At 47.9% G+C, this 17,687-nt stretch overlaps 1 protein-coding gene across 2 annotated transcripts in view, besides 6 other annotated features; it reads left to right on the plus strand.

Annotated features, from left to right (window-relative positions):
* The window catches only part of ESRRB (estrogen related receptor beta), a 191,061-nt gene that overhangs the window by 16,880 nt on the left and 156,494 nt on the right, over positions 1–17,687 (plus strand). The gene's annotated exons all lie outside the window — the stretch shown is intronic.
* Positions 1,771–2,292: an enhancer, noted in NCBI's record as "H3K27ac-H3K4me1 hESC enhancer chr14:76795770-76796291 (GRCh37/hg19 assembly coordinates)". NCBI's record gives its function as "activates a minimal SCP1, AML or CMV promoter by ChIP-STARR-seq in primed H9 embryonic stem cells {active_cell/tissue: H9 hESC(primed)}" and the evidence as "EXISTENCE:reporter gene assay evidence [ECO:0000049][PMID:30033119]".
* Positions 2,293–2,815: an enhancer, noted in NCBI's record as "H3K27ac-H3K4me1 hESC enhancer chr14:76796292-76796814 (GRCh37/hg19 assembly coordinates)". NCBI's record gives its function as "activates a minimal SCP1, AML or CMV promoter by ChIP-STARR-seq in primed H9 embryonic stem cells {active_cell/tissue: H9 hESC(primed)}" and the evidence as "EXISTENCE:reporter gene assay evidence [ECO:0000049][PMID:30033119]".
* Positions 2,816–3,336: an enhancer, noted in NCBI's record as "H3K4me1 hESC enhancer chr14:76796815-76797335 (GRCh37/hg19 assembly coordinates)". NCBI's record gives its function as "activates a minimal SCP1, AML or CMV promoter by ChIP-STARR-seq in primed H9 embryonic stem cells {active_cell/tissue: H9 hESC(primed)}" and the evidence as "EXISTENCE:reporter gene assay evidence [ECO:0000049][PMID:30033119]".
* Positions 6,830–7,329: an enhancer, noted in NCBI's record as "H3K4me1 hESC enhancer chr14:76800829-76801328 (GRCh37/hg19 assembly coordinates)". NCBI's record gives its function as "activates a minimal SCP1, AML or CMV promoter by ChIP-STARR-seq in primed H9 embryonic stem cells {active_cell/tissue: H9 hESC(primed)}" and the evidence as "EXISTENCE:reporter gene assay evidence [ECO:0000049][PMID:30033119]".
* Positions 13,161–13,661: an enhancer, noted in NCBI's record as "H3K27ac hESC enhancer chr14:76807160-76807660 (GRCh37/hg19 assembly coordinates)". NCBI's record gives its function as "activates a minimal SCP1, AML or CMV promoter by ChIP-STARR-seq in naive H9 embryonic stem cells {active_cell/tissue: H9 hESC(naive)}" and the evidence as "EXISTENCE:reporter gene assay evidence [ECO:0000049][PMID:30033119]".
* Positions 13,662–14,162: an enhancer, noted in NCBI's record as "H3K27ac hESC enhancer chr14:76807661-76808161 (GRCh37/hg19 assembly coordinates)". NCBI's record gives its function as "activates a minimal SCP1, AML or CMV promoter by ChIP-STARR-seq in naive H9 embryonic stem cells {active_cell/tissue: H9 hESC(naive)}" and the evidence as "EXISTENCE:reporter gene assay evidence [ECO:0000049][PMID:30033119]".

The following is a 17,687-nucleotide window of genomic DNA, read 5'->3' on the forward strand; positions in this document are numbered from 1 at the left end:
CGGCACTGGAAGTTGAACCATTTCTTACCCTAATGCCTGTGCTTTTTGTTGTTGTTGTTGCTGAGACAGAGTCTCACTCTGTAGCCCAGGCTGGAGTTGTGCAGTGGTGTGATCTTGGCTCACTGCAACCTCCGTCTCCCAGGTTCAAGCAATTCTCCTGTCTCAGCCTCCCGAGTAACTGGGATTATAGGCACGTGCCACCACACCTGGCTAATTTTCGTAATTTTTTTTTTTTTAAGTAGAGACGAGGTTTCACCATGTTGGCCAGGCTGGTCTCGAACTCCTGACGCCAGGTGATTCACCCACCTCGGCCTCCCAAAGTGCTGGGGTTACAGGCGTGAGCCACTGTGCCCGGCCATACCTGTGCTTTTGACCTTGTACTGCACTTCAGCCCCATGCAATGCTTTGTGGAACTATGAGATCATTTCTACCAGAGCTACAGAGGAGACCTCAAACAAGTAAGGAGTACTTCCCCATTTTATAGGATGAGAAACTGAGGCCGGTGGTCAGAGCACCCTCAGTCCAGTACTCATGCCAATATAGGACCTCAGCAAGGAGGGTCCTCACCTCCTGGGGTGAACTGCAGAGTTGCTGGGACACTGTGTGCATTTTAGCAAAAGCTCTACTGTGTGTTTTAGAAACTTCAAATGTAGGAAGATACAGGAAAGAGAGGAAGCAGTTAGAGTTGGCCTAGGAATGAGATATACTGGCTGGGAGGTCCCTTAGTCCCCCTGAGTCGGGGACCAGGACCATCAGCTTCTGGGGGACTCTATCAATGCCCCCAATCCACACACAAGTGCCGCAGGCAGCCTTTAAAAATGTGCATATGTGCCTATGTGTAGGTGCCACCGTTCATCTAAGGCCAGGGCCCTTCTTGCCCCACCCCCGCCCCACACACCTCCCAGGGCTCACACCCACCTCCACTGTCCTCTTGTCCTTCCACTGCCCTTGAGTCCCATGCACCAGCTATGCGGCAACACCCTGTTTTCCTGAATGAGGGCCAGGCTGGGCTGCATCCCTGTGTCCTGGCTCACACAGACCCTTCATGACTCTGCTAGATTCTCCCCTTCTCAGAGAAGCCTCCTCATGCCTCCTCTTGCAGACATCATCTCCCCTGCTCTGGTCCACGCATGCACTCTGTGCCCCGTCTGCAGTAGCCCCTGAGTCCCAGTTATGCACTGCTGTGTCTGTCTTCCCTCCAGGACTGAGATCTCTTGAGGCAGGAACTATGTTGCAAATATTCAAAGGAATGCCCCCAAGAGCTGTGTGTGTTTGATCTCTGGTGCACAGAGTAGTTGCTCAATACGGTTTTGTGGAGTCCAGTTCAAAAGAGAGCAGGGGCTGAAAAACCAGGTTGTGAAGGGAGCTGAATGTCAGCATGGTTATGGGAGTGGGAGGGTAAGAGAAGGGAAGGGGCTTGGCAGCCAGTATTTTATGGTATTTAGGAAAAAGCAATTGGGTACCCGTTTGGCCACCACACACCAGTAACTCCAGTGTCAAATTGGATCACATTCTGGGAAAGGGGTCACTCGAGAACTTGTCTTCCCAGGGCCCAGGAGAGAACAAGGAGAAGTGGGAGGTTCCCAGCCCTAGAATAAATAAATAATCGAGTCAATCTCAGGTTTAACTCCCTTTGACCTTATGTCCCCAACACTGCTACCAGGCAGTCCCAGGGCCAGCAGGTTCTCTCTGTGTGCCAGTTCCCCATTCCCGTCCCTCTGCAGGGAGCTGGGAGGTTCCGTGAATCCCAATGCCGGCTGGCCCAGCTGGAAACAGCTGTGCACAGCAGAAAGATGCACAGCACACTCCAGGCACTGACCTATGCAAACACAAGCAGAATTATAGCCGCCCATAAACAAATTAGCATCCTTTAAAAGGTGAAAAGCTCCATAAAATGTCTGGGTTTTGTTTACGGCTCCGCGGTGGGGTGGCAGGGAGCTGTATTAAATCACCGAGGTGCCCATGTAGCGCGGGCTCTCTTTTCTCCTCTCAACTCCCCCCACCACCCTTGTGGGCACACACAGACCCGGGCGCACACTCACATGCACACGCTGCCCTGCCTGCAATGGCCGCTCAGTCCGTCCTGCCGTTGTTCCTGCCAGCCCGGGTCCCAGCAGGTGTTCCCTAATTAGCAATCTCTTCATTTCCAATCAAAGCACAAAGCGGCCCCAAAAGCCTGTCTTTACGAGGGAGCCGAGCAGCGGCTAGGGATGTGCGGGGGGGATAATTGTCTTCGCCAGTGGCGGCAGTAAGCGGGCTGGCTAATTCATTATTGTAATAACTTTGCTTGTCCTTGGGGAGGTGTGGGTGGGGGAGGGAGGGAGGGGAAGAGGGAAGGGATGAGTGTGGCTGAGGGTGGGGTGGGTGAGGGTCTGGGGCCAAGGGGTAGGAGGCAGAAGAGCGAATGACGGACACACCTGTTCGCGGCCCTCCTTGCCGGCCAGCAGGGAGCCCTCCCTCTCTCTGTGTACCCATTCCCCACCGCAGGCCAGGATGGGCCCTGGTTCTGAGGGAGGCTCTGGGATCTAGGAAGCAGGGCAGCGTTTACCCTCTGGGGCCCAAGGGGCTGGCTCCCGAATAAATCTTAGGGTCAGTGATGTGGGATGGGGTCCCGGGAGCCAGGCTGCTGTCTTCCCAGGACCAAATCCCACGAACTCCTGGACCTACGTTTTCATCCCGCCTGACACAGTGGCAGAGGGGCTCCAGTTAGAGTGTCCAAGAAGCATCCCTGCACTGTTGTTGGCAGAGCCATATAGGTGACAACTCAAAGACCCCCCAACCCAAAGCAGGAACTAACCACGAAGGTGGCTATGAATACCCCTAAAAAGAGGCCATCATGGCCGCTGGCCCTGGTTGCCCCCGCACTCTGTCCTGGTGTACTTGCCCTGACCACTTCCTGGAGTAAGAGGTCGGGACCCCTCCCTGGCAGCTGGTGTGCAAGTAGACTAAGAATCGAGGAAGGGAGGATCGAGGATCGTGGTGGCTGGGTCGCCAGGGGGCTTCGGGAAGCTTTAGGACTCCAGCTGAGCCCCCATCAGAAACAAAACACAGGTATGGAGGAAGCAAGGGCGCTGTCCCTGGTGGAGGAAACCTTGTGAGCAAAGGCTCAGGGTGAATCCTGGGCTTGAGGACAAAGGGAGGCAGGTCTGGGGGATGGGGGCAGGGGTATGCTGAGGAGTCCTGGGAGAATCTGGGAATGCAGGGTGGGGCTGGCCACGGAAAAGCTGAGTGGCAGGCTGGAGACTCGGTCTTCATCTCTTGTACCCCCAAATCAATAGCAGTAGCAACCCCTGCTAGACAGCCTGCAGATGGCATTGCCCTGCCCTGGAGAGATGGGGTCAGTTAGGTAAGCCCTCGGTTTCTGGGGACAGCCTGTCCTTGCTCACACTGGAACTTGGGGGAGATGGCCAAGATAGGAACCTACCAGATGGCCAAAGAGGAAGGGATCGCCTCCCCATACTCCTCCCTCTCCCCTGAAGCTGCCGTCCCAAATCCCGGCCATGTGACACTTGCTGTGGACATTAGAAATGACTTCTGACCAGCCCTGGCATGACTCCTGGCAGCTTTTCTCTGAGTTCTGGGCATTTCCCTGGCCTGAGTGCCTGGTGAAGACCGGCCAGTGGTAATGGTTGTGGCTCCAGAATCAGAAGACCTAGAGTCAAATCCTGGCCCCATCTGTGAATTCACCTTTGTGCCTCAGTTTCCTCATCTGTAAAATGGGGATGATAAAAGTAGCTGCCTCACATGAACTAACACGGGTGGCATGCACAGCACAGCGCTGGCTCGTGTAGTGAGGGCTCCTGATGTGTTCGCTCCTGCTCTTAAAGACGTGAGAGGGAGGAAGTGTGTGTGGTTGGGGGAGAGGCTATCAGAGCTTCACTTCCTTCCTTTACCCATTTTTCTCCCATCTGGGAAATGGAATGGAGAAGGCCGAATATGGACTATCTAAGGTTCTCTGCTTGAAGGACAACAGAGAGCTGGGGATATGCAGCTGCCTGTCCTCTTGTCCAGGGGGCTAGCTAATTTGGAGATCTCGACATCACCCTGGCAGCAGTGACCAGGAGGCCAAGGCCCAGCCCTGTTCCAGCTCAGCCCTGCCTCTTTCTGCTTGGTTTGGGTTGGGAGGCCCTGTGGCAGCATTCTGGTCCCTGCACCTGTGCCAGGAGGGTGGCCACGTGCCTGGCTTTGCTCATCAGGAGTCCCCCAGCCCCGATCTTGGTCTGGCCCAAAGAACTGAGTTAATAGAAGTCCAGGTGCCCAGCGCCCAGTCATCTCAATGGTCATTTCCTGAGAACTTTGTGGCTTTGGTGTTAGCTCTCATCCTAGCTTAAGAAAACCATGGAGCCAGCTTTCTGTCCCCTCCCCAACCCCAATTTACAGATCATTTTACAACAGCCTTTCAACAAATATTTATGAAGCATTTATTATGTGCTTGGTGGGAGAATCTGATGCTACACCAATAAAGGAGAGGATGATTGGAGTTGCCTCTCTCTTGGGATGGAGAAGCCCTCCCTGCAGAGGTGACATGTAAGCCTCCATCCACCCGAGGGACCTGCAGGGAACCAAGTTAGAATCTGCGTGGGCTGGAGCAGTTCTGTCCAGTGGAAATGCAATGCAAGCCACGTGTGTAATTTTAAACTTTCTAGTAGCCACACTTTTAAAATTTTTGAGACAGGGTCTCAAAAAGGCTGGAGTGCAGTGGCACAATCAAAGCTCACTGCAGCCTCTATCTCCTGGGCTCAAGCCATCCTTCTGCCTCCGCCTCCTGAGTAGCTGGGCCTACAGGGTGCACCACCATATATATATATATTCTATATATATATAATATATAAATATATATTTATATATGTATTTGTATATAATATATAAATATATACAATATAATATATATTTATATAATATATATTTATATATTTATATATTATATATTTATATATTATATATTATATATTTATATATTATATAAATATATATTATATATATTTATATATTATATAAATATATATTATATATATTTATATATTATATATTTATATATTTATATATTATATATATTTATATATTATATATATTTATATATTATATATTTATATATTATATATAAATATATAATATATATTATATATTATATATAAATATATAATATATTTATATATTATATATTTATATATTTATATATTATATATTTATATATTATATATTTATATATAATATATTTTTTTATATATTATATATTTATATATTATATACTTATATATTATATATATTTATATATTATATACTTATATATTATATATTTACATTATATATATTATATATCTATATATTATATATTTACATTATATATATTATATATTTATATATTATATATTATATATATTATATATTATATATTATATATTATATATTATATATTATATATATTATTTATATTATATATTATATATAATATATAATATATAATATATATATTATATATTATATATTATATATTATATATAATATATATTATATATACTATATATATATTATATATTATATATTTTATATATATGATATATTTATATATTATATATTTTATATATATGATATATTTATATATTATATATTTTATATATATGATATATTTATATATTATATATTTTATATATATGATATATTTATATATTATATATTTTATATATATGATATATTTATATATTATATATTTTATATATATGATATATTTATATCATATATATATTTATATATGATATATTTATATCATATATATATTTATATATGATATATAAGTATATCATATATAAATATATCATATATAAATATATATTATATATATTTTGTTGTTGTCAGTGGAGACAAAGTTTCGCTGTGTTGCCCAGGCTGGTCTCAAACTCCTGAGTTCAAGCAATCCTCCTGTCTTTGCTTCCCAAAGTGTTGGGATTACAGGCATGAGCCACTGTACTAGGCTACATTTTTTTAAGTCAAAAGAAACAGTTGAAATCAGTTTTAATAATATATTTTATTTAACCCAATATATCAAAATATTATCATTTCGACATATAGGTAATATTAAAAAAATTATCACCGAAATACTTTACCTTCTTTTTCTTGTGCTAAGTGTTTGAAGTCTGGTATTTATTTTACACTTCCAGTACTTCCCAGTGTAGACTGGCTGCATTTCACGTGCTCAGTGTCAACTGCGGCCCTCGGCTACCATGTTTGACTGTGCAAGTCTAGAGGTTAGGAGCACAAACTCTGCAGCCACTTGCTAGCTGTGTGACCTCAGATAAGCTGCTGAATTGCTCTGTGCCTTAGTTTCCCCATCTGTAAAATGGGGCAGGAATAGAAGCCCTACCTTGGAGTTGTTAGGAGAACTATAGAAGCTCCTAAACGTACAGGGCTGAAATAGTGCCTGGCAGGTAGAAAGTGCTAGCTAAATGTTAGCTATTAATAAGAATTATAAAAATAAGAATAATAAATCTCTGAAGGACGAACAGTCCAGGCAGAAACCAGCAGAATGAAGAGCAGGAAGCCAGAGGGGCCTGGGTGGGTGGCGAGGGGGACGGAGGAGGCCAGTGGGGCACCTGATCATCATGTCCAGCCTCCAAGATCGCAGTTTCCTTTTCAGCAACATGCGCAGAGCTCGAGAATATACTCTGGAGAGAGAACTCTAAGGGCCGAGACCTTGACACCTGTTCCCAGGTGAAGGGATGGGGTACGAATCCTGGGCGGAGGGCCCAGTGTACCCCTCCGTCTTCCTCATCTTGCTCTGACTCCAAAACTGTTGCAGCCTCGCGCTCACAGCCGCCTGGGAAGCACAGGGCATCAGCTGGAGGGGGAATATTAATGATTCAATTTTCAACCGGGTTCCACTCCAGGGCCTCGCCTGCGACATGCATTTTTAATCATAACAAAACAGAATGACAAAGGGAGTCATTTGCAGCAAGGCAGCCCCTGCTGGCTGGCCTCCCTAAAGGATCTGATGTGGGGAGGGGTGGCTGGCCCCGAAGACATTAAAGATGTCTCCCCAACTTCAGAGAGTTTGTAGCTGTGGCCCAGCCTCTGACCCTCCTGTGCTGTACAAGCCATTTTCTTTGGGCCGTCTCCTTTCCCAAAGTGGGGCTGCTGGGTTGGGGGAACCAGAAACACTTGGGTGCCATCAGCTAGGGCTGGTAGAAACTGGGGATACCAGAGATCTGACCATCTCCTTAGGGTTTCAGCTGGTCTGCAGCAGGGACAGGGAGCCACGTGGTGATGGGGGCCCTGTGGGTATGGAGGTGACTCCTAGGCCCGAGGTGACTCTTCATTCTCTGAGACTCTATCAGGCATGTGGGTGTATTCCTGAACCAGCCTTCTGGGCCGGCCTCACCTTGGTAGTACCTGGTGATTGGCCAGCCCCTCTCTGATGAAGGGCGCCGTAGTTCCCTATTGGTTCCCCTTAGTTCACCACCACTGGGTCCTGGCCCACCCTGTTTGGCAACTCGCTTTGCACTGAGTCCATTTGGAATGCTCTCCTTCACTGATATCCTTGAATCTCCATTAGCCAATCTCCCAGGCTCTTTTCCGCCAACATTACTCATTGTCTGCACCACTGCCTTGGCACCTCTGCTGCCCTCTGACCAACCCTCTGTTCATCCACCCAATCTCTGAGCCAGTATGTACCCAGTATATACCAGGCACTGTGTCTGGCTGGCTCAGTCTGGTGGGGAAGGCAAACTGGAAGCCACTGTATGGACAGTGGTGTATCAGGGGTCACAGAAGAAGCTGTAGGGGCCAGTACAATTTAATGTACACATGTTATTTATTTAACCAACATTTATAAAGGAGCTACTATGTGCCAGGCACTGGATGCTGTGGTTGCAGTGGTAGCGAAGACAGACATGGTCCCTGCTTTCACAGAGTGTACAGTTAGGTGAAAAGGAAACAAACCAGCAGGTGCTCCATGTTTCTTTTGAGATCCTCCCTTGTGTCTTGTACACAGTGGGTGCTCAATGATTGCTGGTTGGTGGGTTCTAAGTTGGCGAATTCTCTGACTATGCCATTCTCTTCCCGCCCCTCACCATGGCTTTGTGTTTTTGAAGTTGATTCCTAAGTTGGACTTTTACCTGCTGGGCTGTCCCCTGTCCTGATTCTGCAAGCTCTGGTTTCAGGTGTCATAAGTTAATCACACCAACCAGCATTCACTGAATGCTCATGATGCGCCCGGTGCTAAGCACTTTGCTGGCGTAGTTAATATAATCTTATGTAATTGTCACAACAACCCCAGAATAGCTTCTATTATTCAACCTGTTTTAACAAAGGGGAAAATGAGGCACAGGGATGTGAAGTCATTTATCCAAGATTGCACAGCAAATAACGGGCAGAGCTGGGATATAAACCCAAACACTCTGGCCCCAGAGTCTGTGCTGTAAACACGCCGTGTCATCCTGTGGCTTCCTCTTACCATGTGGAAAGCAGGTCAGAAAGATCCCTTTTCACCCAATCTGCAAAATCTCGCTGCCTTTTAGTTGACAGGGAGCCATTGCCAGGTAGGTCCAGGCTGTCCACATCCTCCAGGAATCATGGAATGTCAGTGCTGAGGGTCCTTAGAAGTCCTCTCCTGCACCTCTTTCATGTTTCAGCCAAAGGAACCAAGGCTCAGCGATGACTGGCCCAAGGGCTCAAGACCAAGTCTTGGCTGAGTGGTTCTCCTGGCCCTGTGTGTCCACAGCCCCAGGCTGACTTCCTGAGCATGGTTTTACATGGTTTAATAGAGAGCAGGCAGCAGATGGCTGGTCTTGGATGAAGGGGCAGAAAGGCCCATGACCTTGCCTCTGCACCTGCCCCACTGCAGTCCTTGAAACTAACCAGACCCTGATTCCTGGGCTTTCAGACCCCCTGGTCCCTGACACCCTCTTCATGGCTGGGACCTCCTGCTTCCTTCCTTCTATTGTCTTTCCTGCTGGGGTGACAGAAACCAGCAGTCTGCACTTCTCCCCAGGATCCCCAGGGCAAAAGCAGGAGTGAGAGGAAGCCACTGAAAGCTCAACTGCAGGAGCTGCAGTTCCCTGGGGGCATCTGCCTGGGGGGCGATACCCACTCTTCACTCACTCACGCATTCCAGCAAATGTATTAGCATGTGCTAGGTGCGGGATACATTAGTGAACAAGACAGACAAAAGTCTCTATTTCAGTGTATCTTACATTTATGGGGGTGGGGGATGGAGGAGGCAGACAAAATAGCCAAGATCGTGAACACATTTAGTGTATTAAACAGGCAAGTGCCGTAGAGAACTAGTAAAGGAAGGAAGCCAGGGCGATCTCCACCGCCCTTCACTATCCCTGCAGGAGGTGAGGGAGAGAGCCAGCCCTGTACAATCCCAGAGAAGAGATTCAAGCAGAGGGTACATGTAGCAAGTGCAAAGGCCCTGAGGTAGGAACGGACTAGGGGTGTTCAAGGCACAGCCAGGCCAGTGGCTGGCGTGGCGTGGATGAGGAGAAGCATAGAAGGAGATGCAGAGAGAGTGAATCTAGGCATGGACAACTTGGGATGCTGCTGATTAAAGGTGCCAGTGAGAGACAGAAGTCACTTGCAGTGGCCGAGACTCTCCTGGGGCTGAGGCATCCTGTCCCATGATGTGGGAAGGCAGATCTGACATCTAACTTGGCAGAGGTAGAGGACTTTCCCCTTGGAGCTGCCGTGGGTGTTGCAGGATGCAATAGAGGTGTTAGGTAGGAAGGTAGGAAGCATTCGTGGTGGTAGGTGCTCCTGTTTGTTCAACTCCTGCCTCCAGATCAAGGGAATTTCAGAAAAAGACGGGTCCACTCATACATCGTGACTTCCTCTCACCTTGTATGGTGCTGTAGGTGGAATCCATAGAACCTTCTAGAAAATGAGCAATGGGTAGGTGTGTGTGGGCGGGGGCTGGATGGGGAAGGGCGGGTGCTTGACTGTTCACCTGAAGCTTCATCAGCAAGCTTTCACCTTGGAAATAATCTTTCTCTTTGCTCCAGCAAAGGGCTTCTCAAAACTGTGGTTCCCACAGTTGTCCTAGGAAGGAGGCTTTGGTCGATTACCAACTTTTCTAGGAACTCATGAGATCCTGGTCCTTGTTCTGAGGGGGACTGTGCTGAGAGCACACCCTCTATGAACACTGCCTCCTTTGCCCAATCCTACTCCTACTGCCACGGCCTCAGGTAGGAGTCCCTGACACGGTGTAGGGTTTTGTGTGGACACAAGCTCCGGGGCTGCAGCTGTCTTGCCCGATGGGGCCTGTAGCTTCTGCTTTCCATGCAAGCTTACATCGCCTCCTCCTTCCTTCCTGCAGCCGCCTGTCTCTGATTTAAGGGCAGGTTTTATTCCCGAGCTGCCTCGGGGCCCCTCTTTCTGATTGCATTAAAGTCTCTGCAATTCTCCCCTCATTAATGATTGGCATATTTTTACCTCTCACTAAAGGAGCTTCAAGGCGACTCCCAGGGGGCCCTACTCTCCGAATGAAACAATTTCATCCTGCTCCAGAAACGCATTAAAAAGGGTTTGTCAGGATCTTATCACCAGTTAGAGAAAGCTAATCAAATTACTTCTATTTATTAGCTAGTACAGCAGTATGTCATTCCATCAAGCCCTGGCCCTGGCTCCAGCCCGGGTGGGCATGGAGCGAGCACCCAGGCACCCTGGCTGCTGGAGGGGAGAGTGCCTGAGGGGAGCCTGCTGCCCAGCCTCTCTGCCCCAGCTAGCACCTCCGTGCCAGCCCTGCCAGCCAGGAGAGCCGGGTGAGCTACTGGGGCACCAAAACCATGGACATCTGTTATTCATCAAAGATGGTTCCTCACAGCTGCCTGCATCTTCTCCTTAGCCAGATGGTACATCTCAACTCCAGGCTGCCTGTCCCTGGCAAAGCTGGGTATGAAATTGTGGCATATTTATAGGACACATATTCTCCCCTCCTTTCGAAGAGAGGGGTATAGCTTATTTTGTGTTCCTTTAGGAAATAGGTTTTCTTTTTTTAAAGAATAGAAAATAGCAGGCCAGGTGTGGTGGCTCATGCCTGTAATCCCACCACTTTGGGAGGCCAAGCTGGGTGGATCACTTGAGGTCAGGAGTTTGAGACCAGTCTGGCCAACATGGTGAAACCTGGTCTCTACTAAAAACACACAAAAAATTAGCTGGGTGTGGTGGCCTGTAATCCCAGCTACTCGGGAGACTGAGGCAGGAGAATCTCTTGAACCAGGGAGGTGGAGGTTGCAGTGAGCCAAGATTGTGCCATTGCACTCTAGCCTGGGCAACAAAGCTAGATTCCGTCCCCTTAACCCCCTGAAAAAGAAAAATAGCATGCACCTCAAAGGGACCATGGATAATATGTTGTTACCTGTGTCTCATGTTTTGATAAAAAAATGAACATTTGATTTTTTGTGCCCCATCTTCCAGTTATTTTCTCCTCTTTCCCAGTGATGAGTATCATGAATTTATTATGTATCTTTCTAGGGCCCTAAAAAATCTTTTAAATAATGTGTATATCATATCCAAGAATGGCACACCCTAGTGGGTGCAGCTGCTCTGAGCCTCTGCTGTGTGGCATCACGGAAATCAGCATCGACTCCACTTGAAATCGTCAGGTCCTCCACGCTTACGGTTCTGTGACCTAACCTCCCCATGCCTCAGTTTCTCCATCTCCATAACGGGGATACTACCATCACTTACTTTGTAGGATTTGTTGTGAGGATGAAATAAGATAATGAACGCACTTAACAAAGGGCCAGGCACATGGTCAGTGCCCATGAATGGTAGCCATCGTCATTACCATTGTCTCTACCCCTTCCACCTGCACCTCTTGGGGCCCCATGAGCTTCCGGGCTCCACCTCAGATGTGTGTATTCATACCCACCCAGCTTTAGGCTGCTTATGGACGTGTACTGTACCATGTCCAGACAGGCCCCTGTACAGCTGTGTGGACATGTGCGTGCTCTGCAAGGAGCCCCAGAATCCCACAATTCTCTGGACAGAGAAAGCAGCCTGGGTGAAAGAACAGGCCAGACTCGCCTTGGTCTGGCCTCCTGGAGCCGACCCAGGCTGGGGTAGAAGAGCAGCCCCCCACACTCACAAGCCCGGGGCAGGGGGCTCTCCCAGCTGCCTGGCTGCCTCTATGGCCCCAGGAATGGTTCAAAAGGCTATGCCGCGTGCCCCGTCACATCGCACAAAAGGACATATTGATTGGTTTGTAGAAGCATTTCCTGGGGTGCTTTATATCTCTCTCCCTCGTCACCCATAATGAAGGGGCTGAGTGCACAGAGGAGGGAGAGGCCGGGACACATCCATCCGGGTGGGATTTCTTCATCTTATCAATCAGGACTTTAATTAGACACGTCCGAGAGGGCAGTTCCATCTCGGGGCAGGCGGCAATCTTTATCAAGCATGCCACATCTCTAATTACTGTGTACTGACAGATAACAATTGGGGGGCAGGGTGGGGAGCCCAGGAGGCCGGAAAAGGACAGCAGGGCCCAGAGAGTGGCCATTCACCTAAGCAAAGTGTCCTTCCTAGACAACCTGGAGGGAATCGCTCTAACTCTATGCCCAGGGGCTGGGGATATGGCCTCAGATAACACCCCTCAGAGTGATGACTGGAACGAGGCGCAGAAAGTGGCTGGGTCAGGAGACGGACAGATGTGAGCACCCCTGTGCCCCCGGCCCATGCTCCTGACACACATTTCTTTCTTTTCTTCACATCTGAGTTTTCTTTTTACTCAGAGTTTTTAATGGCATTGTTGAAAGAGCCAGGAAGACCTAGGCTTGAATCCTATGGTTCGGTTCCGTGGCTTCATGTCAGCCAGCTTATGTGACTTTAGACAAGTGACTTAGCCTCTCTGGGCTCGGTTGACTTCACTGCCACATGGAGACGGTTCTACCTCCTGGTAGGATTGCTGTGGCCGGGAACTGAAATGAGGTGTGTGCAGGAATGTGCGTTCTCCCCATCCCCACCTTTCTTCCTTCCTTGTCCATCAGGTGAATGGCTTTATTGAAGGAATGAGGAGCAATTCAGTATCATCAAAGGCTAAATACAAAGTCTGTGCCTTTCTGGTGTGAATTTCCTGCTTAGCTGTGTTGACAAACCATGAGGGAGGACAAATCTGGACTTTGTAGACAAGGCACAATGCAGCAGGTTGGCAAACTCTGTCATGGGTGAGGGGCTCTGGCTTGGAGGTGATGGAAGAGGAATATGCTTCTGCAGTGGAGCTGAACTGCAATGTCTGCTCTCTCTGTTATGAACTGAGTGAGCTCGATCATTGGTTCTCTCTGAGCCTCAGTTTCCTCATGAGCAGAATAGATGTAATCATCCCTCCTCCCAGGGTTGGAGAAGGGGCATGTGAAGTACCGAGACTCAGCCTGCCCCTGCACCCAAGTAGCTGCCCAGAAGGTGGGTCGAGACAGGGTTTCCCCAAGCCCCCTCTAATCTGTGTGCTCCAGCCTCCTGCAAATGGGATTTTCTCTTGCTCCTTCCTGTCTTCATGGACTGAGTCTCCTCCCTCTGGGCTCCCTTCTCCCCTCTCCTAGGTCCTGGCGTTTCTCAGAAGAGAAGCCTGCACAGTCTTCGCTGAGTGCCCAGCCACGTTGCCCAGACAGCCCCCAGCTCTCCCTCAGCTGGTTCTCGGCCTGGGGGCCTTATGTCCTGCTGTCCTCGTCCCCTCCCCAGCCACCACATTGTGACCACTTTCAGAGATACCTCAACATTCACACCTCACTGGCGGGGGCTTCAGCAAACAGTTCATGTACTCCCCTCCCTGTGGCCTCCTGGAAGCCCTCAGGTTTCACCCGGCTCTCCTGCCTCCCTCAGAACTCTTGTCCCCAGGCCCTGCGGGCTGACATTTCTCTTGAGACTTGGCCTGAAAGCCTTTAGTGCTCCTGGCCTCCAGGGTCTCAGGCCAAGTTTCCTAGGGAAGATGGGCCATGAGGTCTCCAGGGAATAGAGTGGGGAAACAAAAGTATGTGCTGTTCTTGATGATCATTAAATTGATCAAGGCAGTCTTGCTAGTTGGATAGCTCAATCCCTGCTCAGAGAAGTTAGCAAATTAATAAGCCCACCCACTGTCTCTGGGAGCCAGAATTTGACCCTAGCTTTGGTGTCCAGTTGGTATTCTTTAAACTACCTGGAGGGAAGTGAGTAAGGCTGGGCACTGGAGGCATGAGAATACCTGAGGATGCATCTGGATAAGAATTCTCACATAAAGCTTTGGCAAATTCATGCTTGTCCTTCTCCAGGCTGGCAGCGTAAAACCTGCTGGAGAATGGTGAGGAGTTGGAGGTGGTACTCTGGCAAGAGTCCACATGTCCCTGAGATTGCCCAGTGAGGCCATGGCCTGGAGTTGGGCTGATGGGGACCCCAGGGAGGAACTTCAGAATGCTAGGCAGGTTGGGACATGGGAGGGCAGGTGGTGGCAGCAGTGATGCGGGTATACAGAGAAGGATAAGGTGAAGTCTCACCTCAAAGACATCAGAGCGTATTTGGGGCAACGGGGCTAACACACAGGCCCTATTAGAGAATAACAAAGGGCCCCACTGGGTGGCATTGTGAGAGTTCCCAGGAAGGAGTCAGCACAATGGTCCTGAGTGGCAGGAGGCTTTCCCAGGGGTGAGCAGCCTTCTCCCTCTGGCTCTCTAAATCAGACACACCTTTCAGAAGAGGTGGCATTCTGGCAGGAAAGAAGGAACAGCATGGGCAAAAGTGAGGGGCAACAGGGAACTTGGTGAGAGCCCTAAGCAAGCCTGTAGGCAAAGCCCACTGAGCCCTCAGACCACTCCAAGACCAGGGAAATATTGCTGATTACAGTAAGGGCATTCTTCCACCTGACACCTGTCATGATGCTGATGCTGGTGCTCCCACTTGCAGCTGCTGTGGTCATCTCCACTCGTTCAGGTGAGGAGCCTGAAGCTCAGACAGGCAAAGAGAGGAACGGGCGTGGCTGTCTGCTTAAGGTTATAGGCTATGGAGCCAAAGACTTCTGGTTTGAATTTGGTCCGCATGAGCTTTGATTTCCCCATCTGTAAAGTGGGAATAGTAAGGTCCATGCCACAGGGTTGTTGGATGTTGACCACTTAGCACATCTCCTGGCATGATTCCTTATAGGAACTTGACAAATAATAACTGACTTTTTTGTTTGTTTAGAAAATTCTTGTTGAGCATCTACTCCATGCCAGGCATTGTGACAGGTCCTGGGATCACAGCAGTGAACTTGACAGCCACGTTCCTGCTTTCAAGCCTTTTATGTTCCAGTAGAAAAATGGGCAGGGATCGAGTAAGCAAAGAATGAGATCATTACAAATTAGACTAAACTGCAGTGAAGGAAATGAACAAGGTGATGGAGTGGACAGGGGAGATGAAGGGATCCAGAAGATCCCCTAGACAGGGCATTCAGGGAGGGCCTCTCAGAACTTCTGACCTCAGGCCTGAGAAGTGAGGAAGATTCAGTCATTGCCAAGAGCAGCCCAGGCAGAAGGAACAGTGGATACAAAAGTCCGGGTCTTCAGAATGTTAGAGGAACAGAGATGAACTGAGCCAAGTGAGAGGGAGGGTGGTCCAAGAAGTTGTTGGAGAGACAGATTAAGCAGGGCCTTGTACATCCTGGCAAGGAGTTGGTGGTTTATTCTAGGTATGGCATAAAGTCATGGGATGGTTTTAAGTAGGGGAGTGATGGCATGATGCCAATCAGTGTTTGAGAACATGGACTCTGAAGTCAGACTGTTTGGATTCGAATCCAACAAGTGTAACCACCTCCCTCAAACTTAGTGTCTTAAAATATCAACAATCCTTTCTTTTGCTAACAAATCTGAAATGTGGGCAGGGCTTGGGGAGAGTGACTTGTCACCACACCTTGCAGTATCAAGCTGGGGTGGCTCAGCTGGAGCTGGAGGTGATGCCCACTCACATGTGTAGCAGGTGGTGCTGGTTGTTGACTGGGAGCTCAGTCGAGGGGACTGTCAGCCAGGGGCCTCAGTTCTTCTCCACGTGGGCCCCTCCACGGGGCTGCTTGGGCTTCCTCATAGCATGGTGATTAGGTTCCAAGAGCAAATGTTCCAAGCTGCATGGCTTCTTCTGACCTAGCCTTGGAAATTATGCATCATCGTTTCCACTTCATTCTGTTGATTAAGCTAGTTACTAGGGCCAGCCCAAATTCAAGGGGACAGAAATAAAATCATTAATTTGTAGGAGGAGGAGTAAAGAATTTTCAGCCATGAACTACAGAAATTTAGAGAGGTAGGCTAGATCAGAGACAAATCAGGCAAACCCTTGTAGGTAATGGTAAGACATTTTAATTTAAGTGTAATGTGAAGTCACTGGATGATTTTAGGTAGGGAGTGATGTCAAATATAGTGGGAGATAGACTGAATATGAGGATTAGACTGCCTGGATTTGAATGGTGCCTGCGGCAATAATTATTAGCTTCAGAAATATTTCATTACTTCTCTGGGCTCAGTTTTCTCATCTGTAAAATGAGATCAGTAACAGTACTAACCTCAGAGGGTGATTGTGAGGATGGAATAAATTTAATTCTGTAAAAGACTTAGAATAATGCCTGGCATGTGTTATGTGCTCAAAATATTCACTATTGTTATTAGTGTTGTGCTTTTATTTATTTTTAATTATTTTATTTTTCCACAAGTTACGGGGGTACAGGTGGTATTTGGTTACATGAATAAATTCTTTAGTGGTGATTTGTGAGATCCTGGTGCACCCATCACTCAAGCAGTACACACTGCACCATATTTGTTGTCTTTTACCCCTTGCCCCCCTCCCACTCTTCCCCACAAGCCCCCAAACTCCATTGTATCATTCTTATGCCTTTGCATCCTCATAGCTTAGATCCCACATATCAGTGAGAACATATGATGTTTGGTTTTCCATTCCTGAGTTACTTCGCTTGGAATAATAGTCTCCAGGCTGGGCGTGGTGGCTCATGCCTGCAATCCCAGCACTTTGGGAGGCTGAGACAGGTGGATCACCTGAGGTCAGGAGTTCAAGACCAGCCTGGCCAACATGGCAAAACCCTGTCTCTACTAAAAATTCAAAAAATTAGCCAGGCATGGTGGTGGGCACCTGTAGTCCCACTTACTTGGGAAGCTGAGGCAGGAGAATGGTGTGAACCTAGGAGGCGGAAGTTGCAGTGAGCTGAGACGGTGCCACTGCACTCCAGCCTGGGTGACAGAGACTCCATCTCAAAAAAAAAAAAAAAGAATAATAGTGTCCAATCTCATCCAGGTCACTGCAAATGATGTTAATTCATTCCTTTTTATGGCTGAGTAGTATTCCATCATATATATACTACAGTTCCTTTATCTACTCGTTGATTGATGGGCATTTGGGTTGGTTCCATGATTTTGCTATTGTGCTACTATAAACATGAATGTGCAAGTATCTTTTTCAAATAATGACTTCTAAGACTTGAAACTATAAAAATTCTAGCGGATACTTTGGAAAAACCCTTCTAGACATTCGCTTAGGTAAAGATTTCATGACGAAAAACCCAAAAGCAAATGCAATAGAAACAAAGATAAATAGCTGGGACCTAACTAAACTAAAGAGCTTTTGCACAGTAAAAGGAACAGTCAGCAGAGTAAACAGACAACCCACAGAGTGGGAGAAAATCTTCACAATCTATTCATCTGACAAAGGACTAATATCCAGAATCTACAACGAACTCAAACAAACCAGTA

Source organism: Homo sapiens, chromosome 14, assembly GCF_000001405.40.
Source record: "Homo sapiens chromosome 14, GRCh38.p14 Primary Assembly".
NCBI classification, from domain to species: Eukaryota; Metazoa; Chordata; class Mammalia; order Primates; family Hominidae; genus Homo; species Homo sapiens.